This window comes from Homo sapiens, chromosome 11, assembly GCF_000001405.40.
Source record: "Homo sapiens chromosome 11, GRCh38.p14 Primary Assembly".
NCBI classification, from domain to species: domain Eukaryota; kingdom Metazoa; phylum Chordata; class Mammalia; order Primates; family Hominidae; genus Homo; species Homo sapiens.
This window is the reverse complement of record NC_000011.10, coordinates 57,299,642-57,325,094: the sequence shown is the minus strand read 5'-3', so window position 1 is coordinate 57,325,094 and position 25,453 is coordinate 57,299,642. Positions and strand designations below refer to the sequence as shown.

Below are 25,453 nucleotides of genomic sequence, written 5' to 3'. Positions count from 1 at the left end.
CTGGGCCGCGCCTGTTTGCCGACGGTGGGACGAATTCTGCACGGGCTTCCCACTCCCGGGTTCCAACCGGCTCATGCATATTCATGAAGCGCCCTGGGGGCGTGGACCTGGGCGGAGTTGGGGCGGGGCCCCGCCGGGGCTCGCAGTGGCTTCGTCCCGCGGTGACGGCGGCGGCGGCGGCGGTAGCAGCGGCGGCGGCGGCGGGGACTGGCATCGGGGCCCCGAGCCGAGCGGAGCCGGACCCCGGGCGAGCGCGTGAGTGCGCGGGGGCGGTCGGGCGAAGGAGGGGGCGGGGTCCGGGATGGGGCGGGGGAGGGGCATGGAAGGAGTGGGTGCTTTCCAGCCGACACCTCGGGTTGAGGTGGTGGTGGTCGGGGGGTCACCAGGAAAGTTTGCAGGGGCCGAGGGCGCTGGGGACGCTGGAGGCCCGGGGGAAGGTGGCGCGTGTGCGCGGAGGCGGAGGGCGCATGGCTTGGAGCTCGTGCTGGCAGAGCCAGAAGAAAGGGGGGAGGGGGCGAGGGCTTGGGGCGGGGCCGGGGGCGGGCAGAGCCGCTGGAGGGACCCCTGCCTCCCCTTCCTCCGGGCCGCGCTAGCCCCCTCCCCCGGCTCCTTCGGCACGCCCCCAGCCACCCCAGTCCGCCCCCACCTGATCGACGTCTGCAGCCCACCGTCTGTTCGCCGGCTGCTTCACAGCCCGCTCACAGGTCCTCCGCTTCTGCCGCCACCGCAGCCCCCTCCTCCTCCTCCTCTTCGGCTGCCGCCGTCCCTTCTGTGTCCAGAGCTCCCCACTGGGCCCCTCCAGACAGCCCATTGCCCGGGGCTGTTCCATCTTCCCGTTGGCCCTCCCTCTTTCCAGCAGTTTACGTGCTGTCCCTGCCGACCTCTCTAGCCTCGGATCCGGCTGGAGATCCTGGGGTCCATAGGGGCGACCCCGCCTGCGCCGAGTCCCCTCCGGGGCTGGAGCTGCCCAGCCCTTCTGGAGGCCTTATCTGCCAGGGGTCAGCTCGTTTCTACCCTGCTACCCTCTACCCCCTGGTCTCTTGAGGGTGGGGAGTGCTCAGAACCGCTGCGAATCGCAGCTTCTGGCCACAGCCTTGGTGGCCTTGGTCACCTGGGGCCCCTGGCTGGGGTCTCTGAGTTGCTGTGGCCACCTCCGCACCTGGGGACTCTGAGCCCGCCTTCATTGCTGCAGCCCCTCATACCGCAGAGGGGCCCATCAGAACCCCAGGTGAAAGGATTTTTTTGGTTCTGAGCCAATTAATTTCCATCTCCAACCACCCACACTATGTTCCTAGTAATAATGTTCAAGGACAAGGAAACAATCTTGTGTTTTAATTTTATTTTTTCTATCATGTGCCCCTCCCCCCACCACACTTGGCCTGGCTCTGCACAGTTATTCACCCACCCACAGTGGGCAGTCTTCCGTGGTGGTTAACTGACCAATGGGTTGACAGTACTGGGTTTCTCTACTGTCTTCATACCCTCTCCCATCTTTGAAACACCTGGGGCAGGGTCAGCGTTAGGGGAGGGGTGTTGGATTTTGCAGAGGATGAGCACTGGGGGTCCCTTTTAAGGATTTGGTGCTGTCTTCCCAGACCAGCTGGAGTGGGTGACTTTAAGTGAGGCAATGCCCCTTGCAGGTTGGAGAAGTTTGGGTTGTCCTCAGGGCTCTGCATACCAGGTGAGGGAAACTTCCGCCTTGCATGAGAGGTGCAGGGCCCTATCCCCCAGGGTCTCCATGTTTTTGTGGGTGGGAGAGTGCTTCAGGAGTCAGGATGGGAACTGAGGAGGTGGTTGGAGTATCTGAAGAACAGGTGACAGGACTAGGGCCTGGGAGAGTGAAGGAATGGTCTGGGAATGCTGGTAGCCTGGGGTCAGGGAAGAGGAGGAGGTGGTTATCAGGGATGTTAGCTCATTGGTGACACTGAATGGAATCACAGTAATAATAGGCAACATTTGTTGAACACTTATTATGTGCTAGGCATTGTGCTAAGCCTATTTCATGTACTATTTCATGTAAGCCCCCTCAGGGTCTCAATAATCCCATTTTTCAGTTGGAGAAACTGAGGCTTGGAGAAGTCACAGGGCTAGAAAGTGGTAGACCCACCCAGCACTGAATCTTGGTATATCAGATCCTGAAGCTCATGTGACAGGCTTCTACCACCAGGCTGTGCCTCTTGGTTTAATTTCTTCTGTCCCCCTCAGAACTCCTTAAAGCCAACCCTAGGCTGGTGAGTGAAGCCCACATAACCCCTTTTCATACATAGGCTGTGGCTGCTCCACCCTGACTGTCGTGGAAGGTGGAGCCCCAGGGAATTTTCCCCCAAGTCACTCCACCCCCCGGATGTTCTCAAGCCCTGTCCCGTTCTCCCAGCCCAGGCCTGGGCCGGCTCCTCCTTCCTCTTGGCTAGGCCCTGGAAATCCAGTGGGAGGCCATTGCTATGGCAACAGGACTAGGCCCTGGCTTTACCTCATCAAATTCCAAGCTGAAGCCAAGCGATTGAGAAATTAAAGAAAAAAATATATTCCAGATGTTTACTTTTTATTCCTTATTTTTCCGTGTTTGGATGAGACAGTTCTGAGGGAGGGGAGAGAGTGGGGCAGGGATGTGGAAGGAGAACAGGGAGAGGGGGGAGAAGGAACCACTCCCAGCTGCGGGAGGGAGGGAGAGAGGGAAGGAGGGTGAGTGGGAAGGGGGAGGCAGGCAGTGGGGCGGAGCCCAGGTTGGGGAGGAGCGGGTTTTTCCCGTCTCCCGTGAGGTGATTCACAGACAGACTTCATACTTTGCAGCTCTCTAGCTCTGCTTTGAGTAGACACCTCCAGCGGGGCCGTCCTACCCAAGGGGCACTGTGGGGACTGTAAGTGGGGTGTCTTGGAGAGCTTGTCAGAGGAGGGAGCAGTGAGTGACTCCCTGAAGCGCTAGGACTTTGGGGTTAGGAGATAAGAGTTGGGGAGGATCTTTGAAGAGTTGAGGATATGGCTGTTGGGAACCTCCCTTGACCTCCTCCTACCCCCCCCCCCCCACTCCAAGTTCTCTCTTCCTGTCCCACACTCTGCCTCTGTTAGAAATAGGAGACTTCTCTCTGCTAAACCTACTGGCAACGCCCAACTCTTTTTTTCCTTCTCTTCTCTCTCTTTTCCTAGGTCTGCAGCCACCCCAGCTCATACCTCTCTGCCTCCCCGCTCTCAAGGAGGGTCTGCCGCATGTGATGAAAGTGTCTACTCTCAGGGAAAGCTCAGCCATGGCTTCCCCACTGCCCCGGGAGATGGAGGAGGAGCTGGTGCCTACTGGCTCTGAGCCAGGTACCAATGGGTGCAGGGTGGAGCCAGGTGGCTGGGAGGGGGGTGGGAAGGACAGAGGCTGCCCCCTCTTTCTGTCTTGGGGGGTGGTTGAGTGATGATTCTGTTGAGATAGGGAAGGAGTACCAAGGCAGTACAGGATGAGTTTGAAAGGTTCTCAGCTTCTCTTGAGACTCTTCAGAACTGTTTGGGATCATAAATCTCCAACAGGTGTAAGAGCAGACAGGGACCTTTGAGATGATATGGATCAAGCTGCATGCTTTGCAGAGGGGAAAACTGAGGCCCACAGGGAAAAATGGAGTGTACAAGTGGGAGTTTGAACCCAGACCTCCTGGCTCCTTGTGTAGACTCTTTTCTTCTATTTAGCCAAATGTGTAGGAGGTACGGGATTCCATCAGGAGGACTGTGGACGAGGGTACTTCCAAGGTCATTTAGCTTTATATAGAAGGTAGATTTCTGGTCCTGTTTTTTTTTTTCTTCCCATAGCAGATTTACTTTTGTTTGACTTGGGTCAATAGTAAGTTTGCATTCCCAGTCACACACCAGATGACAGTGGGGAGGTGGCCTGGGAGTGTGCTGTGGGTGGGGGAGGAGGCAGCCTGGAGGCAGGATAGAGAAGCTCAGCTGAGATTGAAAGTTTACTATGGATGATAGAGAAGAGTGTCACATAAGGTGAAAAAACTAGATTGGGAATATGGGGGGGCTGACTGCTTGATAGGGACAGGCAGGCATTTGTTTATTGGCTCATTTGTTCATTCATTCTTTTGTTTAATTATAACTTATGCTAGGGGCAAAATACAGTACAGGAAGAAGTAAGGTGCCAGGTGGGTCCTTAAATAGCTTCAGCTTAAAAGGGGAATTGGCTAAAACATTTTGGGAGTTTGAAGAAGGGAGAAGATGCTTTGGGGATGTGTGTAGAAAATCAAGGAAGGCTTCATGGAAGAGGTGGCATATGACTTGTGCCTAGAAAGATGTGAATATTCTTAAATCGGAGGGTGGGAGATGAGGTGGAACAGGAAACAAAGAAGTTCTGCTTCCTGGTTCTTCTGACAGCTCCCCCACCAACCCTTTCCTTTTGGTAGGTGACACTCGGGCCAAACCCCCTGTCAAGCCCAAACCCCGGGCCCTGCCTGCCAAGCCAGCCCTGCCTGCCAAACCCAGCCTGCTGGTGCCTGTTGGGCCTCGGCCTCCCCGGGGTCCCCTGGCTGAGTTGCCTTCTGCCAGGAAGATGAACATGCTGGCAGGACCCCAGCCCTATGGTGGCAGCAAGCGCCCCCTTCCCTTTGCACCAAGGCCTGCGGTTGAGGCCTCCACTGGAGGAGAAGCCACCCAAGAGACTGGGAAAGAGGAGGCTGGGAAAGAGGAGCCACCCCCTTTGACACCCCCAGCTCGATGTGCAGCCCCAGGGGGTGTACGGAAGGCCCCTGCCCCTTTCCGCCCAGCCTCAGAGCGCTTCGCGGCCACCACGGTGGAAGAGATCCTGGCCAAGATGGAGCAGCCTCGGAAGGAGGTCCTTGCCAGCCCCGACCGCCTGTGGGGTTCCCGCCTCACCTTTAACCACGATGGCAGCTCGCGATATGGCCCCAGGACCTATGGCACGACCACTGCTCCCAGGGATGAGGATGGCAGCACCCTCTTCAGGGGATGGTCCCAGGAGGGGCCAGTAAAGTCTCCAGCAGAGTGCCGGGAAGAGCACAGCAAGACCCCTGAGGAGAGGTGAAGGGTGGGAGGTTGTATATTTTGTGGCAGCCTGGAGGTCAGGTGGGGTGGGATTGGGTGGGGGCTGGGGACCAAGTGCATGGCCCCATATAGGGTTGTGACTTTTACCTGTAGGTTGGTTGTGTGCTGTGAGTACAGGCAGATCCCGATCTAGGTCACAAATCATTCCCCAGCAGATGGTGTTATCATTACTGTATGCTTTTAAAGTTGTAGTTTTCTTTACAGAGTTGATGCAGGTTTATGTTAGAGAGTTCAAATGTACAGTATAGAAGTTTAATAGACAATAGACTTTTTTTTTTTTTTTTTTTGAGATGGTGTTTTGCTCTTGTCACCCAGGCTGGAGTGCAGTGGTGCGATCTCGGCTCACTGCAACCTCTGCCTCCCAGGTTCAAGTGATTCTCCTTCCTCAGCCTCCTGAGTAGCTGGGATTACAGGCGTGGGCCACCACGCCCAGCTAATTTTTTTGTATTTTTAGTAGAGTTGGGGTTTCACCCTGTTGGCCAGGCTGGTCTTGAACTCCTGACCTCAGGTGATCTGCCTGCTTCGGCCTCCCAAAGTGCTGAGATTACAGGCATGAGCCACCACGCCCGGCCAAGAAGTTTAGTTTCTATATACTGAGAGCTGGGCACCAAACTTTGCCTCGTTGGCATCCTGTTTGTTCAAGGGAGTATTAGATCCATTGTAGAGATGAGGAAACTGAGGCTCAAAAATGACTCCATAGTCTCGGCAAGTTAAGAGGCAGAGACAGATGTTTGTTTGATTCCAAATCCTCTGCTCTTAAGTGCCAGCTCTTACAGTGGTCAGAGCAGTGTGCCAGTCCTGGGGTGGGGCTGCGTGTGTCAGGATGAGTAGGGCACAGTCTCTGCCTGTGAGGTGGAATCTGATGGGAGAGGTAAGAGAGGAACACATCTTTTTTTTTTTTTTTTTTTTTGAGACGGAGTCTCGCTCTGTCATCCAGGCTGGAGTGCAGTGGCGCAATCTCGGCTCACTGCAAGCTCCACCTCCTGGGTTCACGCCATTCTCCTGTCTCAGCCTCCCGAGTAGCTGGGACTACAGGCGCCTGCCACCACACCCGGATAATTTTTTTGTATTTTTAGTAGAGATGGGGTTTCACTGTGTTAGCCAGGATGGTCTCGATCTCCTGACCTCGTGATCTGCCTGCCTCGGCCTCCCAAAGTGCTGGGATTACAGGCGTGAGCCACTGCGCCCTGCGAGAGGAACACATCTTGATGCCAGGCCAGCTAGTGTCTGCACAGAGATTTTGGCTGGTTGGAGATATTTGCATATGATACGCTTCTCCAGAGTTGCCACTAGTGTAAAGCAAGGCTGGCCAGGAGGTGCTTCTTGGGGTGCTGGGCACGGGACTTTGGAGGAAGAGGCTGAGGCATCTCAGGAGCCATCAGCTGCACAGAGGCTGTCCTTAGTGCTGGGAGAGCCAGCTTGAGGTATGGCTGGCTCCTTGGGCCTTTAACAGCTCTGCTGGGCTCAGAGGCTCCCTTTCTCTTCCTACTGCTATGAAGGCAAGAGCTGGTGTGGTCTGGGCTAAGCGGGAAGCTGAGGGTCCCTGCCCTGCCCTGCCCTCTGGCCTTGCCCTTCTCTCACCTGAAAGTGTCTGGAGCCTTGGCCCCAGAGCTAGTCCTTTGCCTGTCCCAGACCAGGGTGCTGTGAGGTCACACTCTTGCCCAGGCTGGGTTCCACCCGCCATCTTCCTTCTCTCCCTCACTCCAAGTAGGGCTTAAGAACAACTTCAACCCTGGAAAATCACTCTTTCCTCTTCCCCTCCCCCACTGCAATTCTTCAAGAAGTATTGGCAGGGCAGCAGGACCAGCTGCACTCTTCCTGGCTAGAGGAGAACTTTAACTCCTTATGGGTTAAAGGAAAGAGGAGTTATCTTTTTAGGAGCTGTTGAGAGGTCTGGGCATCCAGGATGCTTTTCCTAAAGTAGCTGGGGAATTTAACCCTTCATGCTCAGGTAGGGAATAAGCACTGTTTTCTGGGGCACTTGCCGAATGGAAAATGGACAGATTCTGTGTCCCTAATAGTTGCAGGCAGGGCTCAAGAGTAAATGGCTAGGAGGGTTTAACCTTTGGGTGCTGTTAAAGTTGCACTGGGAGACTCTCCCACATTTTCCATTCTGTGACAGACTCTAACATTCCGTGCTTCCATTTCCTGTCCTCGTCCCTCACAGGAGCCTTCCTTCCGACCTGGCCTTCAACGGGGACCTGGCTAAGGCAGCCAGCTCGGAGCTACCTGCTGATGTGAGTTATCCTCCAGTTATGAATCAGAATCACGTATTTTAGAGCTGGAAGGGTCATATGAGATCATCTTTTCTACTCCTTGTAGTTCAGATGGGGAAACTGAGGCCCATGGGGAGAGTGACTCACTGGAGGGCTGGCCCTGGGATTTTTCGACTCCTGGGCCAGTGCTCTTGATCACCAAAGTGGCTAGGTGTGGTTAAGGCCATGAGGCCATTCATCATAAACAGTAATGATAGTATCCACAACAACTGCCATTGATTAAGTCCCTACTATGTGCTGGGCCTGTCCTGGGAACGTTAACCAACTCAATCCTTGTGATAACTCTGGCTAGTAGACCTGGTTAGTCCCATGTGAGAGATGAGAGCACCTGTACTCACAAAGGGTAAGTAACTTAGGCTGAGGCAGCAGCTACTGTGTCTGCCTCCCATGCTTTCCCTGGCTGGGCTGCCTTTTCTGAGTTCAGAAGAGGGGTGAGTCCTTTTGCTGAGATTTTCCCATCATACTCCCGTTCTTGAAGATGGTCAGCCTGCTTTCTTGAGTAAACAAGGTACAGGATGGCCCTTTTTGCTCATACAGCCCTTGCTAGCTGGAGATCTGACTTGATTCATTTGTCCATCCAGCAAGCAGTGACTGAGCGCCTGTTAGGAGCTGGATGTTGGAGATAGCTGTGAAGGTAGAGTAGAGAGTGCAGGGACGAGTGTGGTCAGGGAAGGTGTCACTGTGAAGGGCAGAGGCTGAGCTGTGTGCATGTCTGGAGAGCAGCATTCTTGGTAGAGGGCACAGCAAGTACAAAGGCATTGGTGCTTTCCTGGCAAGGAGGCCAGGATGTCTGCCTGGCAGTGAGAGAGGAGTTAGGTGGTAGTGAGGACCAACGGGTTGGGGGGTTGGATTGTGTCAAGTCTCGAAGGCCTCTAGAAAGACTTTGGCTTCAGTGAGAGCAACAGGCCATTTGAAGGGTTTGCAGGAGAGGCATGGGATGCTGCTGTCTTAGTTGTGAAGAGTCACCTGGCCCACTGGATTAAGAATCAGTTGCAGGGAGGTAAGATCAGCAGCATGGACCAGTCAGGGGGCTGTTGGAATAGTCCAAGTGAGAGATGATGACGGCTTGGACCCTGGAGGTAGCCTACGGTGGAGATGGGGAGAAGTGGTTGGTTCTGGATAGAATTTGAAGGCATGGTGGAAAGGACTTTCAGATAGATAGAGAGCACAGAATCAAGGGTGACCCCACGGCTTTTGGCCTGAGCAACCGGAAGGATGAGTTTATGGTTGCCGAGACGGGGACTTCTAAGGGTGAAGCAGGATCGGGGGAGATGGGAGGAGTTTGCTTTGTGGATTTGTTGAATTTGAGATGGTTTTCAGACATCCATGTGGAAACGTCAAGCGGATGGTTGGGTAGTCGAGTCTGGCCTTCAAGGGAAGTGAGCAAATTTGAAAGGAACACTTGGGAATTGTCAGAGTAGGAATGCTTGTGAAGACTGGCTGAGATTACTGAGAGTGGGGATGGTGCAGGAGGGGAGGGCCCAGAGGCACAGCCAAGGAGACTGGGAGGACAGTGAGAGAGTCCACCAAGTGGAGACAGCCTCCAGGACTGGGGGAGGGCGCCATCAGCTGTCAGATGCCACTGACAGGTCAAGTAAGATGAGCACAGAGAATTGGATTCAGCTCCAGGGAGGTCATCCGTGACCTTGACGAGAGTAGTTAGGTGGCAAGGTAAAGGAGAAAGCCTGTTTGGAGTGGTTTCAAGAGAGAAGGGGACAAGAAGAACTGTGGATATTAATAGTGAATATAGACAGGGCTTTCAAGAAAATGGATGGTAGCTAGTGAGTGATGTGGGGTCAAGAGTGGTTTTTTGGTTTGCTTTTTTGGCTTTTCAAGACAGAAGAAATTAGAGCAGTTTGTGTGCTGATGGAAATGATCCAGTAGAGAGGGAAAAAAAAATCGATGCAGGAGAGAGAGGAGGGATTGACCTCAGCCCCAAGCGAGGACAGTGCCTGATAGCAGAAGGGGAGGCAGAGTGCTTGGGCTCCCATGCAGGAAGTAGGTGGTGTGTGTGTGTGTGGCGGTGGGGGGGTTGTCGGGGGTTCTCTGCTGGTGGCCTCTGTGTTCTCAGGGAACAGGAAGCAAGGCCATCAGCTGAGAGAGGATTGGGGGAGGTGTGGAGGTCTGACGGGAGAAGATGCTAAAACATTGCCTGGGAGAGTCATGGAGTGAATGGCAGGGGGAGTGCCGTGGGATTCTGGGCAGCTCTAGGGCCGGCTTGAGGTCAGCAGTGAATCTGGAGTGAGACCAGCTGTCACGATTGTGTGTTTTTATCCAGCCACATGCAGCTACTCAGGTGCTGGGCTAGGATTGGCCCAGCTGTATTGGAGAGCTGTATTTAAACAGGTTAAACAGTATGATGAAGCAGATGAGGGAGTTGAGTGTTGAGTAAAAAGTGACGTTAATGGTGATAAGAAGAGAGGTGAGGGTATGAGGGGAGTGGGGGACAATGAGAAAGAATTAGGGTTAAGGGGCTGTGCTATGAGAGGGGCTGAAAATAAGGGCGTTGGGGAAATAGAGTGAGCCGGTCAGATAGGCGGTGGGGGTGGGCAAGTGGGATACTTGGGATTGAGATGATGCAGAGGTTGCAGCCACTGGTAAGGATGAGGTCTAGGGTGTGACCTTGAGAGGATGGGTCGCACAGTCACTGAGGAAGAGGAGGTCAACGAACCAGAGGCTGGAAGGGTCGCATCTGGCTATGGAGATGACTGTAAGCTATCACAACAATGATGGAGAGGGTTGCAGTGATGCAGCGGTTATGGTTTTCAAGGAATGATGGGTGCGTAAGGGTCAATAACAAGAAAGAATTGTGGGTGCTGTAGTTTAAGGGCACGAGCTTTGACATTAGAACGTTGCAGAGGGGAGTGAGCATGGAGGGAACAGAAGGGACCTTGAGAAGCAAGCAGGACCCTTTATTTTGCCCAGGCCTAGTAGGTGATGATGTGGGAGAATTAACGACATGGGAGAGGGCGGCCAGGGAAGTGTGACCTCTGCAGAGGGCAAAGGTCAGATGGAGCCAGAGTCACTTCATTGTCTGGGGACAGGTGGAGTGCCAGGTGCTTGGTGCCTTGTTTGTCCCCCTCTTCTCTCCACGTCCTCCCCACTCTCTGCCGCCATCATCCCATGAGTCCTATGCCGAGGGGCCAGTGCACACATTTCCCTTCACCCTCACCTAACTGGGAGATGAGCATTGTTGCCACCAGCCCTAATGTACAGATGGGGAAGCTGAGGCTCAGAGAGACCAAGTGTCTGCCATATGTGAGGGAGGGCACATGCTGGTAAGAGGCAGTGCTGGGACGGCTCAAGCCAGGCGCTGTCACACCCCCCAGTGCCTTTTGCCTGGGTCCCATAGCCTTCCTGCTTCCTTGGCACCTTCTGTGCCATGAGGGGCACCCCCTGCACGCTGTAGCCACTCCCCCGAGCTGCTCTGTAGCTGCACTGCACCTCGAATCCTGCTTGGACGCGAAACCCTCTCTCCCCTCACGACTCCCACATGCTGAGGTGCTTCAAGAGCCAGATTCACAATGTTCCTTTTCCCTTTATAAAGCAGGTGTTATGGACCCCGAACTGTGGCCTCTGAGGAGATCCTCACATGAGCTTTGGGTTGAGTGGGTGAGGGGTTCCAACCACCTGAGACGAAAGGAATTATGCTTTGTGAATAAGGATAGGCGCATTCTGGGGAAGAAGGTCTAAAGGGGGCTCTGTGAGAAGTCCTGCCTTGAGTCGTCTGTGGGGCCCCTCCCAGCTATCCCAAGAGGACCCCCTCGGGTTCCAGTTGCCTCCTCCCAGCCTGGGAGAAGCTGACCTGGGGTCTGTGTGGGGTCGGAGGGGACCCTCCCCGCCCCGCTGAGAGGTGAGTGACGGATCTTGACCTTTCTTTCTCTTGCAGATTTCCAAGCCCTGGATTCCCTCAAGTCCAGCCCCCTCCTCAGAGAATGGAGGCCCTGCCAGCCCAGGCCTCCCCGCAGAAGCCTCAGGCTCAGGCCCTGGCTCTCCCCATCTTCACCCGCCTGATAAGAGTTCTCCCTGCCACTCACAGCTTCTGGAAGCCCAGACTCCTGAAGCTTCCCAGGCTTCTCCCTGCCCCGCTGTGACTCCATCAGCTCCAAGTGCAGCCCTGCCTGACGAGGGCTCCCGCCACACCCCCAGCCCGGGGCTCCCTGCCGAGGGGGCTCCAGAGGCCCCCAGACCCAGCAGCCCACCCCCTGAGGTCTTGGAGCCCCATAGCCTGGATCAGCCCCCTGCCACCTCACCCCGGCCCCTGATCGAGGTGGGTGAGTTGCTGGATCTCACTCGGACGTTTCCATCTGGCGGGGAGGAGGAGGCCAAGGGTGACGCACACCTCCGCCCCACCAGCCTGGTTCAGCGCCGATTCTCTGAAGGTGTGCTCCAGTCACCCAGTCAGGACCAGGAGAAGCTGGGGGGCTCGCTGGCTGCCCTGCCCCAAGGCCAGGGGAGCCAGTTGGCCCTGGATCGTCCCTTTGGGGCAGAGTCCAACTGGAGCTTATCACAGTCCTTCGAATGGACCTTCCCCACGAGGCCCTCGGGTCTGGGCGTGTGGCGGCTGGACTCCCCGCCTCCCTCCCCCATCACTGAAGCCAGTGAGGCCGCCGAGGCTGCTGAGGCTGGCAACTTGGCCGTTTCCAGCAGGGAAGAAGGAGTGTCTCAGCAGGGGCAAGGGGCTGGGTCAGCTCCAAGTGGGTCAGGAAGTTCCTGGGTGCAGGGGGATGATCCAAGCATGTCCCTCACCCAGAAGGGCGATGGGGAGAGTCAACCTCAATTCCCAGCTGTTCCCCTTGAGCCCCTGCCTACAACTGAGGGCACACCTGGATTACCTTTGCAGCAGGCAGAGGAGAGATACGAGTCGCAGGAGCCCTTGGCTGGACAGGAGTCCCCTCTCCCCCTGGCTACCAGGGAGGCAGCCTTGCCCATCCTGGAGCCAGTCCTGGGGCAGGAGCAGCCAGCAGCCCCTGACCAGCCCTGTGTTCTCTTTGCTGATGCCCCTGAGCCTGGACAGGCACTGCCTGTTGAGGAGGAGGCCGTGACCCTAGCCCGGGCTGAGACCACCCAAGCCAGGACAGAGGCTCAAGACTTGTGTAGGGCATCCCCCGAGCCTCCAGGCCCTGAAAGCAGCTCCCGCTGGCTGGACGACCTCCTGGCTTCACCACCACCCAGTGGTGGCGGTGCAAGGCGGGGAGCTGGAGCTGAGCTGAAGGACACACAGTCCCCAAGTACCTGCTCTGAGGTGAGAATGGGCATAGGGAGAATGGGACTTCTGGGGACAGAGGCCAGGGCTTGGGTGGGCTTCATTCTTTGAACATGGATTTTACATGTCGAGAGCTTGGGCTGTGGTAGTGAGCAAGGCAGCTGTGGACCTGCAGATTGTAGCTCTGCAGAGCCACACAGGACGGTGTGTGTGTGGGGTTTCGTGTGAGGCTCTATCCCAGCTCCAGCAATCGCTAGCTGATTGGTCTTGGGAAGAACGTACCTTAACTGCTGGGCTTCAGAGTGCTTTCCTGATAGTAGCATTGGCCTCTTAGAGTTATATTGTGGGTAAATCGAGGTGGAAAGCTCTCGGCACAGTGCGTGGCAGGTGCTGAGTATTCAGTCTCTCATTATGGGAATATCGTTCAAGGCAAAATAGTGTAGCCATTTAGAGCGTGGGCTCCTGGGTTCATCTCCTGGCTCTGCTTTCCTTTGCCCAGGTGTGACCTTAAAAGAGTGACTTTTCTGCCCTCTGCCTCAGTTTCCACATCTGTAAAATGTGGATAACAAGATGAGTTCTACCTCCAAGGGTGTTGGCAAGGGTTCAATGAGCTGTAATGTCTAAAGTGCTAAGAATAGTGCCTGGCTCATCCTAAGTGCTTAAGAAGTGTTGGCTTTTACAAACGTTATTAACATTGAGCTCCAGACCTGCTTTGTAGACAGGCAGCTGGGCCTCAGAGGAGGTTAGCCTTGTGCAGTTATCCAGCAAGTTGGTGGCTGGGCCCGGGCCAGCGCCGTTTCCCGGCCCAGTGCCCTTTCTCCTACCAGGCTGCCTCTGAATTTAAGGGCCGGGGGCCAGGTGGCTTTCGAAATTTATTTCTCAAGCCGGGCCTGGGCTGCAAGGGGCGGGGCTGCAGGAAAGGAGGAGCCAGGGGGCCTCTGGGGGCTGCGGGGCGGGGAGAAGGAGGAGCAGGAAGGGGTTAAGCTGACTCCTGTAGTAGGTGTGTCTGTCCCGGGATGTGGGTGACTCAACTGGCTCCTGGGCGGGGCTGCCCAAGCTGCAGCTGCTCCGGAGGGAGCAGGGCCAGGGTGAGGGAGAGCCAGCGCCAGAGCCGTCGGACAGGTCCCAGCGCGGGTAGCAGCCCAGCTCTATCCCTGCGCCCGGCTGGCCGCACCCAGCAGCCCCAAGGCGGGTTGGGGGCGGGGGGCCATGGCCCAGCCTGGGGATGGGGAGGCCAGCATGTCTATCCTGGAGCGGCTGCTGGCCAACGCTGCGCTGAGGGATGAGGCTGGCCGGCTCCGAAGCCCTGAGCCCAGGGCTCTCCCGCCCACAAGGGTGAGTCAGGGAGCGTGAGGTGGGGGGTGGGGTGCAAGAAGCCCTGGCTGGGATTTTCCCCTGTGCCAGAGGCTGCCCCTCTTGTCTTTCCTGGGCCAGGGTGAGGGCTGAGAGGTCTTCCTGGGGAAGATTGAGCAGACGGCACTTTGGCTGGGGAAGAAGGGCCTGGGTACTTATAGGAGGATGGGGGTCAGATGGGGCATGGGGGAGGACGGGCTGGAAAAGCTGTCATTGGTGTTGGAACCTTGCCTTGCAAGGGAAGTCGCAGAGAGGCTTTGAATCTTGACCTCTCCTAATCAAAAGGAAAGTGCACTGCCTGCCATTCCTGTGTGAAGACCACTCCTCTCCTGGCTGTTAGCCAAGTATTGCCCAAGAGTTGTAAACATGACCATGGGACCATCGATTGAGTGCCCACTGCATGCCAAGCACTATGCTGAGTGCTTGGTCTAAATGATCTCATTTAATCCTCTCACACCAGCCCCATGCAATAGGAATTATCCTCGTTTAAGGATGAGGACGCTGAGACCCAGAGTGGTTAAGTGATTTGCTCAAGGTCACACAGCTTTCTGTTGCCAAAGTGGGGCTTTCAGGCACTAGGCAGCGCTGACTCTGCTGGATTGACTCCCACCCTGATGGAATCTAATCGTTGTTTCTTTGTCTGTTTTTTTTTCTTATTCCCAGGGACTCCTTGGCTGGTCCCAGAAAGATCTGCAGAGTGAATTTGGGATCACAGGAGACCCACAGCCCAGCAGTTTCAGTCCTTCCAGCTGGTGTCAAGGTGCTTCTCAGGACTATGGCCTTGGGGGTGCAAGCCCTAGAGGAGACCCAGGTCTCGGAGAGAGGGACTGGACCAGCAAGTATGGGCAAGGAGCAGGGGAAGGGAGCACCAGGGAGTGGGCCAGCAGGTGTGGCATCGGCCAGGAGGAGATGGAGGCCAGCAGCAGCCAAGACCAGAGTAAAGTGTCTGCCCCAGGGGTGCTCACAGCCCAGGACCGGGTAGTTGGAAAGCCAGCCCAGCTTGGCACTCAGCGGAGCCAGGAGGCAGATGTTCAGGACTGGGAGTTCAGAAAGAGGGATTCCCAGGGCACTTACTCCAGCCGGGATGCAGAACTCCAGGACCAGGAATTCGGAAAGAGAGATTCACTGGGTACCTACAGTAGTCGAGATGTAAGCCTTGGGGACTGGGAATTTGGGAAGAGAGATTCTCTGGGTGCTTATGCCAGCCAAGATGCCAACGAGCAGGGCCAAGATTTGGGGAAGAGGGACCACCATGGTAGGTACAGCAGCCAGGATGCCGATGAGCAGGACTGGGAGTTTCAGAAGAGAGATGTGTCACTCGGCACCTATGGCAGCCGGGCTGCGGAGCCACAGGAACAGGAGTTTGGGAAGAGCGCTTGGATAAGGGACTACAGCAGTGGTGGCAGCTCCAGGACCCTTGACGCCCAGGACAGAAGCTTTGGAACGAGACCCCTGAGCTCTGGGTTCAGCCCCGAGGAAGCCCAGCAACAGGATGAGGAATTTGAGAAGAAGATTCCAAGTGTGGAAGACAGCCTTGGAGAGGGCAGCAGGGATGCTGGCCGGCCAGGAGAGAGAGGATCCGGGGGCTTGTTCAGTCCTAGCACTGCCCACGTGCCGGATGGGGCACTCGGGCAGAGAGACCAGAGCAGCTGGCAAAACAGTGATGCTAGCCAGGAGGTGGGAGGGCATCAGGAGAGACAGCAGGCAGGGGCTCAGGGCCCTGGCAGTGCTGACCTGGAAGATGGGGAGATGGGAAAGCGAGGCTGGGTCGGTGAGTTTAGCCTCAGTGTTGGCCCCCAGCGAGAGGCAGCATTTAGCCCAGGGCAGCAGGACTGGAGCCGGGACTTCTGCATCGAGGCCAGTGAGAGGAGCTATCAGTTTGGCATCATTGGCAACGACAGAGTGAGTGGTGCTGGCTTTAGCCCTTCTAGCAAGATGGAAGGTGGTCACTTTGTGCCTCCTGGGAAGACCACAGCTGGCTCGGTGGACTGGACTGACCAGCTGGGTCTCAGGAACTTGGAAGTGTCCAGCTGTGTGGGTTCTGGGGGCTCGAGCGAGGCCAGGGAGAGTGCCGTGGGACAGATGGGCTGGTCAGGTGGCCTGAGCTTGAGAGACATGAACCTGACCGGCTGTTTGGAAAGTGGAGGGTCTGAAGAGCCGGGGGGAATCGGAGTTGGGGAGAAGGACTGGACTTCTGATGTTAATGTGAAGAGCAAAGATTTGGCTGAGGTCGGGGAGGGAGGAGGCCACAGCCAGGCCAGAGAGAGTGGCGTGGGGCAGACTGACTGGTCAGGTGTGGAGGCCGGAGAGTTCCTTAAATCAAGGGAGCGTGGAGTTGGACAGGCAGACTGGACACCTGACCTTGGGCTGAGAAACATGGCCCCAGGGGCAGTCTGCAGTCCTGGAGAGTCCAAAGAGCTTGGGGTGGGCCAGATGGACTGGGGTAACAATCTGGGCCTGAGGGATTTGGAGGTGACCTGTGACCCAGACTCTGGAGGTTCTCAGGGGCTACGGGGATGTGGAGTGGGGCAGATGGACTGGACCCAGGACTTGGCGCCCCAGAATGTGGAGCTCTTTGGGGCTCCAAGTGAAGCCAGGGAGCATGGGGTGGGCGGGGTGAGCCAGTGCCCAGAGCCCGGCCTGAGGCACAATGGCAGCTTGTCTCCTGGCCTGGAGGCCAGAGACCCCTTGGAGGCCAGGGAGCTGGGGGTTGGTGAGACAAGTGGGCCAGAGACCCAGGGTGAAGATTACTCCTCGTCTTCCTTGGAGCCACACCCTGCAGACCCTGGAATGGAGACAGGAGAAGCCCTCAGCTTCGGAGCAAGGTAATGAACGGAGCCCCATCCCAAGTGTGGGAGGGAACATGTGAAGGCTGTCCAAGAAATCGGAACCTTTCTGAGGAGGGAAGAAACAGTTTTTCCTGAGGACTTTTAGTGTTTGGGTAATTGAGACATTTTGGACTAAGAATTTTTAGTTCTACTTAAAAATAATTGAAATATGATACACATACAGGTGAGTTCCTTTTTTGAAGGATGACTAATGTGTTACTTTTGCAACCCATGTTTGAGCTTGGTGATTTGGAATTGTGACTGTGACGGGGGAAATGGTGCATGTCATAGCTTGGATGGTTTCTGATGGGTTCTACTCTTGTACACAGTAGCCGTTCCCCAGGCCTCTCAGCCCTGAAGCCACAGGTGGTTTCATAGGTATAGGGCAGAGAATTCCGTGTCTTCTTGGCTGGGGCCACCACAGCCAGGAGTGGAGTGGACAGTGGAACCCACGGGTTCTCAAAGAGGTTAGGTACTTGGTGCTTCTTGCCTGTCCTGTCTTGAAGCCTGGAATAGCAAGTTCAAGAACCTGAAGGGTATGGGGACCTGGCCCCATGACCTTGGCCTCTGTGCAAATTTGCTGAAAGAACTTTCCAAAGGCTTTGCAAGGCAAGCACAGTCTGTTTCATGGATGTTTTAAAACCAGCTGAGATGGTTTTGCAGCTGAGAAACGTGCTAAAAAGGCATTGCATCCGTTTTGTTAACATTTCCATCCATTGAGATTCGCTTTTATTCCCTTTAGTGAGCAGAAAATGTTACCTTTTCCAGCCCCACAGTGGGAGCTTCTCACTGGGTATGTGGGGAAGGCAAGGGAAGTGTGGGGCAGGGGCTTTTATAAGTGGAAGGGGTTGGTGGTGGGAGGAGAGGAGCAGGAAGGGGCTAGAGCATATCATGGTGGTCTTGGGGACTCTGGAGAGGCATTTGGGATGGAGGAGGAGAAGGGAGAGAGGAAGATGGGCCCAGTGAGATGCCCAGGGGGATTTGAGGAAGTGGAGCTTCCTGACGACTCAGGCTGTTGACGGGGTGGTGACGGAGCACAGGGAACCACTGAGGCTGCATTGAGGACTGCAGGGACGAGGGGAGGGCGCAGGACTAGGAGTTGGGAGGCCCTTGTGGTCCTGGGCAGGTTGCTGGGCTCTGAGCCTCAGTTTCTCAGGGTTTGACTCAGGAAGTGCAGAGTTCCAGCTTTAATGTTCTTGGTGCAGGGGAGAGTCCAGGCTTGGCGTGGTTGTTCCTGATTTCTCTTCCTGGGACTCATAGAACTTTGCACACCCCATGCTTAACCACACGTCTTACCTCATTGATCTTCACAGCTGCTCTGTGAAGCAGGAAAGTGATTTTTATCCTCTCCGCTGGAGGGTCGAAAGGTGGTGTGACCCCTTAAGGGCAAAGAGTCAGGAGTACCTCTTTCTCACTTGTATATGTTAACTGCTTTCAGGTGTGGCCACTGTGGGACCACTGCCCCCCTCCCACCCAACCCCCCCCCCCACCACCACAGCTCTCTGCCTTTCCGTTCTGTGTGGGGTGGCTCTTAAGAAGTGGAAAGTGATCATCTTGTTCCCTTAGTTTAGGATGGAGGGAGGTGGGGCGGGGATTGTGATGGGACTAGGTTAGGGGAAGAGGAGGATAGTGTCATCATTGTGTCTTTAAAACACCCAGGCTTTTGTGGTTGTGTTACCGTAATCTGGCCAGTGTTGACTTTAACCCGAGTTCAGGGGTTAGCCGTGATGCCATACAGGTGAGCCTCATTGTATGCAACAGAAAGCGTGGCTCCTAACAGAAAGCACGGCTCCTCAAAAAGCCGAACGAAAACAGTTGCTTTAGAGAGGAGTTCGAGGGGCTTGTTTGAATTTTATGCTTTCGGGCAGCCTTTTCTAAAATGTGTCCTAAAGAATACCAGTCTGTGAATATGTTTGGAAAATGCTGGGTACTCTGTGGCCGTACAGAAGACTTAGTCTGTATATTAGCATATATTAGTACCTTAAAGACAAGTAATGCAGTATTTTCCAAGCTAATTTGGCTAATGTCCAAGAACCTAGTGTTCTGAGCAGGGAAATTCTGATGTAGGGAAATTCTACACTATGGGCACTTTCTCTTTTTTTTTTTGAAACGGAGTCTTGGTCTATCGCCCAGGCTCCCAGCCTGAAGTGCAGTGGTGCGATCTTGGCTCACTGCAACCTCTGCCTTCTGGGTTCAAGCGATTCTCCTGCCTCAGCCTCCTGAGTAGCTGGGAATACAGGCGCACATCACCACGCCCGGCTAATTTTTGTATTTTTAGCAGAGATGGGGTTTCACCATGTTGGCCAGGCTGGTCTTGAACTCCAGACAGACCTCAGGTGATCCACCCACCTCGGCCTCCCAAAGTGCTGGGATTACAGGCATGAGCCACCATGCCTGGCCCACTATGGGCACTTTCTCTTTAAAGAAAATTTTGGAGGTTCCCTTTGTAACGAGAAGTCCTTGAGAATAGCTCAGAGGGGTCTGGCTCTGGGTCCATCTGCCAGGCTTGCGTTCTGATTCTGTCACCACCTCTGTGACCTTGGGCAAGTTTGTTCTCTTCTGCGGGCCTCCGATTCCTCGTCTGTAAGTTGGGAGTAACTTACTCCCAGTACTCATGGGGTTTTGTTAATTGTTCCTCACAAAAACTAGGGAAACTGAGACCCAGAGAGGCAGTGTGACTTGCACCGGTTCCCACGGCTGGTGGCTGTGGGTTCTTCTTGTCTCCCTGGGCCCAAGCCGTGCAGTCTTCTCTGGGCACCCTCCCTGTCTCTCTGGGGTCAAGGTCAGCTGCTATTTCTCTAGACACATCTTTCCAGCTTCACCCCTCCCTCATTTCAGGTCTCAGAACACTGGGATATTCACGTTTTGTAGTTCCAGCGCCATGTTTGCCTCTGGAGCAGTGGTGGAGGGTGGGGTGGGATACCGTCTTGGTCCTCAGGGTACTCTAAAGTTTAGACCAGGTGAAGGGTGTAGATGCGACAAGATGAGGCACATCCTCTCTGGCCAGGGACCCGTGTTGAGGATGATAATGACTATCCTAATAATTTGTTGTATTTGTCAAGTGCTAACTATGTGTTAGGCACATATTTCTGCCAACAAACTAGAACAGTTTATGTACTTTTATTATCCCCATTTTACAGATAAACTGAGGTTCAGAGTGGGACAAATAACTTGTGGTCAAAGCCACAGGCATAGGAGGAGACAGAGCCTAGCTGTGTCCTGGAGTGGCAGGACTCAGTCCCTGTGTTCCTAACTACCCCTCTTTCCTGCTCCCATGCCGGGAGGGGCTCAGCTTATACATGATCTGGGTGCTTAGGGGTAGGAAAGCTGCTTCTAAGATGGGGTGAAGGGCGAGTGGGGTTTAGTCCGGCGGGGTGGACGTAGCTGCACTTTCTTGGGTTTTCCCCACTCGCCACTCTCTGCTCCTCAAGGCCACCTCCAGAGCTCACTGACCTCTGCCTGAGTGGCTTGGGCCACCTCTCGCTTTAGGAGTGGATTTTTTTTTTTTTTTTTTTTTTTGAGACGGAGTTTTGCTCTTGTTGCCTGGGCTGGAGTGCAGTGGCGCGGTCTTGGCTCACTGCAACCTCCACCACCCGGGTTCAAGCGATTCTCCTGCCTCAGTCTCCCCCAAGAAGCTGGGATTACAGGTGCCTGCCACCATGCCTGGCTAATTTTTGTATTTTTAGTAGAAACAGAGTTTCACCATGTTGTCCAGGCTGGTCTGGAACTCCTGACCTCAGGTGATCCGCCTGTTTTGGCCTCCCAAAGTGCTGGGATTACAGGCGTGAGCCAGGGCATTTCACATCTCTTTAGCTCATGGGGCCTGCCCTTAGCCTTCTTTTGCCCCACCCCAGGGAGAGGCTTTGGGCCTGGCCTCTGTAGTCTGGGTGGGGTGCTGTTGCCACCCCCTCCCTCCAAATTCTCCCTGATTTTAAGCTGGCTGTCAGGGTGAGCTGGCTTTGGCCCCCAGCCAGGGCTGCTCCCAATTCTGCTGCCTTGCTGTACTTCTGCTGCCGCCACTGCCTCCTCCCCCAATGTCTCTCCCCAGACCACTTTAATTTCCATCTGTCAGCAGCTTGTGGAAGGACAGACTACCACTCATGCTCTCTCTCCCTGCCCCCTCTTCCTGCTTGGTATTGACTCACCTGCCCCACTCTCCTCCTGCTTTAATCCCAGTGGGAACCTGGGGCCTGGCTTCCAGGCACTGCCGTGCCAGGCTTTCCCACACCTCTGTGCGTAGTATGAGTGTGTGTGTGTGGGGTGGGGGTGTGGGGATGCGGGGATGCGTGTGTTTGTGTCAGGTGTGGCTCTGTGCCGTGCCTGTAGATGTGGTGGGTGCGAGGTCCATCTGGGGGAGTGACAAACAGCGCACAAGCTCTCTGCCTGAGTGTGTGTGATGGTGATGAATGTGAATGTGTCATTTTGGGGAGTGGCCGCTGGACAGGGCGGGCAGTATGAGTTAGTGAGAGAGTGTGTGGTGTGCTTGTGCCGTGTTTGTATTTTGTTTTTAGATGGGGTCTTGCTATGTTGCCCAGGCTGGTCTTGAACTCCTGGGCTCACGTGATCCCCCTGCCCTGGCCTCCCAAGTAGCTGGAATTACAGGCGTGAGCCCTGCACCCCATGTCCAGCTGTATTGTGTTTTGAGGAAGCAGCAGACAGAAGATGCATATGCTGCATGGAGGTCCAAGGTGACCCAGCCCCTCATTTGCTTGGCAAACATTTGCTTAGTCCGGCGCGTAGCCAGGCTCTGGGTCAGGTGCTGGGGGCATAAAGGCAGAAAGGGCCCCGTTTTTGCCCTTGAGGAGCTCACCGACAGGCTATGGGGACAAAGAACCACAGGAAAGAAGCAGGAACTGGCATGGATTGGAGCCCAGGGCTGGTAGGGCTGAGGCGGCCATGGTGGCTGGGAGGGGGCAGGGCAGCTTCGGAAGCAGAATTGAACCAAGGGGACAGTACCACCAGGGACGGTGTGGTGCGGGGAGCTTTCCAGAAGAGGGAGCAGCTCGTTCAAAGCCAGCAGCATGTGAGGGCCGGGTGTCTTCTGATGGTCCCTGGTTGCTCTGTGAGCCTGGGGAATGAAGAGGCATAACGTGGGGGCTGAAGACAACATGAGTCCGGAGAGGCAGGTGGGCCAGTACCTGGCTCACCCCAAGGAGTGTGACTGCCCGAGCACGTGGCCCTGGGAGGGAACACATTGCTAGCATGCAACAGCAGCAGGAATAATGGCTGCTGCTTCTGCGGTGCGTGCTGACCAGGACTGTGCTAAGTGCTTTAGATTTTTCTTTCATCCTTGCAGCGACTCCGTGCAGTTAGAGGAGCCTGAGCTGTTTCCAGGGGAGGGGGCTCACCCGAGGTCTCAGGGATTTGAACCTGCCAGACTGGCTCAGCTCTTCACCTGTGTGCTGTGTTGCTCAAGGCCCTGACCGTGTCCTTGGAGTCTGGAAAAAGCATGGGAAGGAGGGCAAGGGAGAGTTTGGGGGCTGGGGGAAGGAGCTTGTGAAGTAGGCTTCAGGGCAGGGAGATGGGGCCTTACGATGATCTCGTTCTCTCTCTGTCCCCTTTACAGCCCTGGCAGGTGCCCGGCCCGCCCCCCACCCTCCGGCTCCCAGGGCCTGCTGGAGGAGATGCTGGCAGCCAGCAGCTCCAAGGCGGTGGCTCGGAGGGAGTCAGCGGCCTCGGGCCTTGGGGGCCTGTTGGAGGAGGAAGGAGCCGGGGCAGGTGCTGCCCAAGAGGAGGTGCTGGAGCCTGGCAGGGACTCTCCACCCTCCTGGAGGCCGCAGCCTGATGGTGAGGCCAGCCAGACAGAAGACGTGGATGGCACCTGGGGCTCTTCAGCAGCCAGGTGGAGCGATCAGGGGCCAGCACAGACTTCTCGGCGACCCTCCCAAGGCCCTCCTGCCAGATCCCCCAGTCAGGACTTCTCCTTCATTGAGGTCAGTGGAGGGTGAGCCCATGACAGTGGGTGGGTGAGGGCGATGCAGCGAGAGCCCCATTCCTGGAGCTTCCCTGAGCAGTCCCAGTCCAGGAGGCAGAAAGCGGGTTGTAGGTGCGTCACGTGAACGTGAAGCTCCGGCTGCAGGAGGGGTCCAGCTCCTGGTCAGCTACTGTTGAGGGGCTCCCGTGGGATGAGGCAGCAATGGCAGTGGTGTCACCATTGCCCCAAGCAGGACACCGAGATCCTCGACAGTGCCATGTATCGGAGCCGTGCCAACTTGGGGCGCAAGCGTGGGCACCGGGCCCCGGTCATTCGGCCTGGGGGTACCTTGGGCCTGTCGGAGGCAGCAGACTCGGATGCACACCTGTTCCAGGACTCTACAGGTAGGGCTGATGTATTATTTGGTGATGTCTCTTGATCTCTAGGGCATTAGGCCAAGCTTTTGCAGGGGTTATGGGTTCGGGGAGTCTGGGTGTGCTGCCTTTTCTGAGCCCCTTTCCCGGGCCTTTGCAGAGCCACGGGCATCTCGGGTGCCATCTTCAGATGAAGAGGTAGTGGAGGAACCTCAGAGCCGCCGGACACGGATGTCGTTGGGCACCAAGGGGCTGAAAGTCAACCTCTTTCCTGGCCTGAGCCCCTCAGCCCTGAAGGTACCATCTGATCATTAAGCAAACATGTCCAGCCATCTGGCCAGGTGGCCACCTTGCATGCTGTCTTTCTTCTCTTCATCCATCAATTCATTCCCCTGTCCCCCTCTCCCATTCCTCCTCTCACTCTCCTCTCCATCGAGGGCTCCAGAAGATCCCTTTGTGCCCCGCCGGGCCCTATGCTGTGTGCCAAATGGGATGGAAAGAAGAACAAGATGTGTTCTTATTCTGGAACCTCAGGGGCAGTGGGAGACATGATGCCCATAATTAGCCTGGATGAGAGAAGAAGTTTAGGTGTCCCTGAGGAGAGGCACAGATAAGGGCTGGGCCTGTTCAGAGAGAGAGGAGTTATTTCCTAACAGCAGAGTGGAGGGGGATGGGAAGGGAGGGTGGATTGGAGAAGGCCTCTTGTATGTATTTGATCTTAGCCGGCGGCAGGCACAGGAGTTGGCTCCTGGAGCTGGGATGGTGGGGTGGCATTGCAGGCAGAGGGAACAGGGGTGGGAAGTCACCACTGGCTTTGTCCCACCCAGTTTGTCTGAATTCAATCCTGCCATATGTTTTTGAGGACAGAAAGGTGTGCAAGGCATAGCTCAGTTCTGCGGGAAGTGCATCTCTAAGTGACTTCCCATCCTTTGGGGTGAAAGGACTGCAGAGGGGTCTCTGCTTGATTCTGGGGACTGCACACTCTTGAGATAAGGTCTTACCCCCTGAGAGTCCTACTGCCTGTCCCTCTACTATCTATCTGCTTCTGGACTTGCTTCTCAGGCCAAGCTGCGCCCCCGGAATCGCTCAGCTGAGGAGGGAGAGCTGGCTGAGAGCAAGTCGAGCCAGAAGGAGTCCGCGGTCCAGCGTTCGAAATCCTGCAAGGTCCCAGGACTGGGAAAGCCCCTCACGTTACCTCCCAAGCCAGAGAAATCCTCAGGGTAGGTGACCTAAGCTCTGGGCATCCGCTGACCTCACTGTATTACCCTGATGAAAAGGGAAACTCTCACTTCACAGAAGAGGCAAACTGAGGCTCAAAGAGGAACCTCAGTCGGACATGCCCCAGATGAACGGTATGAAGATGGTGTCAGAATTTGGGTCCCTGCAGCCAGGCCCCAGACTGCCTCTTCTGGTTAGAGGGTGGTTTCTGTCCCTATCACGTCTCCTTGTTGTGTTCAGTTTCCTCAAAGTTTGCATTCTGGACCTTTGCCGTCTGCCTCCTAGGTCAGAAGGATCGTCGCCCAACTGGCTTCAAGCCCTGAAACTGAAGAAGAAGAAGGTCTGAGAAGTCACTGAGGTGAGGACAGGTTCCTGGGCTTGGATCCAGTCTGAGGAGGGCCTGCCCTGGAGGCTTCGGAGGCCTCATGCCCCTTCTGTCCCTTAGCTCCCACCCCTTTCTGTGCAAGTTTAGAAACAGCAGGTGAAGCCAAGCTCCAGAGACTCGGTAGGCCCTTGGCTTCTCTAGATTTTGTCCACAGGGAGGTCAGGTTGTTGTCTGGCCTGGTGTGGAAGAGGAGAAGGGCTACCATCCTGGCCTGCTTCCCTGTGCTCAGGGACAGTCCCCCCATGCTCCCTGGCTGGACGGAGAGTGGTCAGCCAGCCCTTCTGGTCTGGGACCCTGTGGGCACTTACCAGGCTCCATGACCAGGCTTAGCTGGGGGCACCAAGATGGGTGTAGGGGAGAGGAAGCTGAAGCCTCCACAGTGTCCTTCCCTGATGTCTTTTCCTCCCTTCCCATTGCAGGTTCTTCCCACCTGGCAGTCTCAGGCAGTGCCCATTCCTGTGGGGTCCCTGGGTGAGGAGACGGCTGGAGCCCCACCATGCCCCAGGCTGCAGCCTCTGTCCCCTCCACCTCTGAGGAGCGTCTGGGGAGGCACATTTATGCACTTTGTATCACCCTCCGAACTCCCCCCACACCTTCCCTTCCCTGGATTTCATCACTAGTGGTTGAAGGTTTTGTCCCTTCCTCTCCTCCTTCCCTCTCCCTCTCTGCTTCCTCCTCCAGCCTCCCTTGGGTTTTCTTTTGATACCAATTTATAGCATTTTTTATAAAAGCCTTTGATTTTTATAATGGGTGGGACTGTATCCCTGCCTCACCCCAGGTCTCCGTCTGCCCCGCCAGGTACCCCACAGAGACCAATGACATTTTGCCACTTGAAACAATAAATAAAGTTTTTTGGGAA

At 55.6% G+C, this 25,453-nt stretch overlaps 1 protein-coding gene across 4 annotated transcripts, besides 6 other annotated features; it reads left to right on the top strand.

The window, feature by feature from the left end:
* Positions 60-339: a silencer, noted in NCBI's record as "silent region_3344". NCBI's record gives its function as "represses an Ori minimal core promoter by ATAC-STARR-seq in GM12878 lymphoblastoid cells {active_cell/tissue: GM12878}" and the evidence as "EXISTENCE:reporter gene assay evidence [ECO:0000049][PMID:35858748]".
* TNKS1BP1 (tankyrase 1 binding protein 1) lies at positions 143-25,453 on the top strand. Of its 4 annotated transcripts, none has more exons than NM_033396.3 (12): positions 143-255; positions 3,145-3,303; positions 4,383-5,016; positions 7,208-7,277; positions 11,206-12,561; positions 14,539-16,700; positions 22,270-22,636; positions 22,871-23,021; positions 23,152-23,288; positions 24,054-24,211; positions 24,495-24,567; positions 25,014-25,453. In NM_033396.3, exons 2-11 carry the CDS (start codon positions 3,210-3,212, stop codon positions 24,553-24,555), a joined length of 5,190 nt encoding a protein of 1,729 aa, NP_203754.2. In that variant the 5' UTR covers positions 143-255; positions 3,145-3,209; the 3' UTR covers positions 24,556-24,567; positions 25,014-25,453. The 4 variants fall into 4 exon arrangements, with proteins under 4 accessions (NP_203754.2, XP_011543627.1, XP_006718788.1 ...); XM_006718725.4 differs by lacking the exon at positions 143-255 and adding an exon at positions 2,767-2,858; XM_047427785.1 differs by lacking the exons at positions 143-255; positions 3,145-3,303; positions 4,383-5,016; positions 7,208-7,277; positions 11,206-12,561 and adding an exon at positions 13,577-13,857.
* Positions 13,615-13,824: a silencer, noted in NCBI's record as "silent region_3343". NCBI's record gives its function as "represses an Ori minimal core promoter by ATAC-STARR-seq in GM12878 lymphoblastoid cells {active_cell/tissue: GM12878}" and the evidence as "EXISTENCE:reporter gene assay evidence [ECO:0000049][PMID:35858748]".
* Positions 20,448-20,984: an enhancer, noted in NCBI's record as "H3K27ac-H3K4me1 hESC enhancer chr11:57071585-57072121 (GRCh37/hg19 assembly coordinates)". NCBI's record gives its function as "activates a minimal SCP1, AML or CMV promoter by ChIP-STARR-seq in naive H9 embryonic stem cells {active_cell/tissue: H9 hESC(naive)}" and the evidence as "EXISTENCE:reporter gene assay evidence [ECO:0000049][PMID:30033119]".
* Positions 20,985-21,520: an enhancer, noted in NCBI's record as "H3K27ac-H3K4me1 hESC enhancer chr11:57071049-57071584 (GRCh37/hg19 assembly coordinates)". NCBI's record gives its function as "activates a minimal SCP1, AML or CMV promoter by ChIP-STARR-seq in naive H9 embryonic stem cells {active_cell/tissue: H9 hESC(naive)}" and the evidence as "EXISTENCE:reporter gene assay evidence [ECO:0000049][PMID:30033119]".
* Positions 21,521-22,058: an enhancer, noted in NCBI's record as "H3K27ac-H3K4me1 hESC enhancer chr11:57070511-57071048 (GRCh37/hg19 assembly coordinates)". NCBI's record gives its function as "activates a minimal SCP1, AML or CMV promoter by ChIP-STARR-seq in naive H9 embryonic stem cells {active_cell/tissue: H9 hESC(naive)}" and the evidence as "EXISTENCE:reporter gene assay evidence [ECO:0000049][PMID:30033119]".
* Positions 23,977-25,176: an enhancer, noted in NCBI's record as "CDK7 strongly-dependent group 2 enhancer chr11:57067393-57068592 (GRCh37/hg19 assembly coordinates)". NCBI's record gives its function as "activates an origin of replication core promoter dependent on BRD2, BRD4, P300/CBP, MED14 and CDK7 cofactors, with strong dependence on CDK7, by STARR-seq in HCT116 cells {active_cell/tissue: HCT116}" and the evidence as "EXISTENCE:reporter gene assay evidence [ECO:0000049][PMID:35650434]".

What these genes read in the sequence shown, in the direction of transcription:
- TNKS1BP1 (NM_033396.3), top strand. Translation starts at nt 3,210, where the DNA reads ATGAAAGTGTCTACTCTCAGGGAAAGCTCAGCCATGGCTTCCCCACTG. An exon ending in AGCAAGACCCCTGAGGAGAG is followed by an intron (nt 5,017 to 7,207) that starts GTGAAGGGTGGG and finishes CGTCCCTCACAG; the next exon opens with GAGCCTTCCTTCCGACCTGG. An exon ending in GCTCGGAGCTACCTGCTGAT is followed by an intron (nt 7,278 to 11,205) that starts GTGAGTTATCCT and finishes TTTCTCTTGCAG; the next exon opens with ATTTCCAAGCCCTGGATTCC.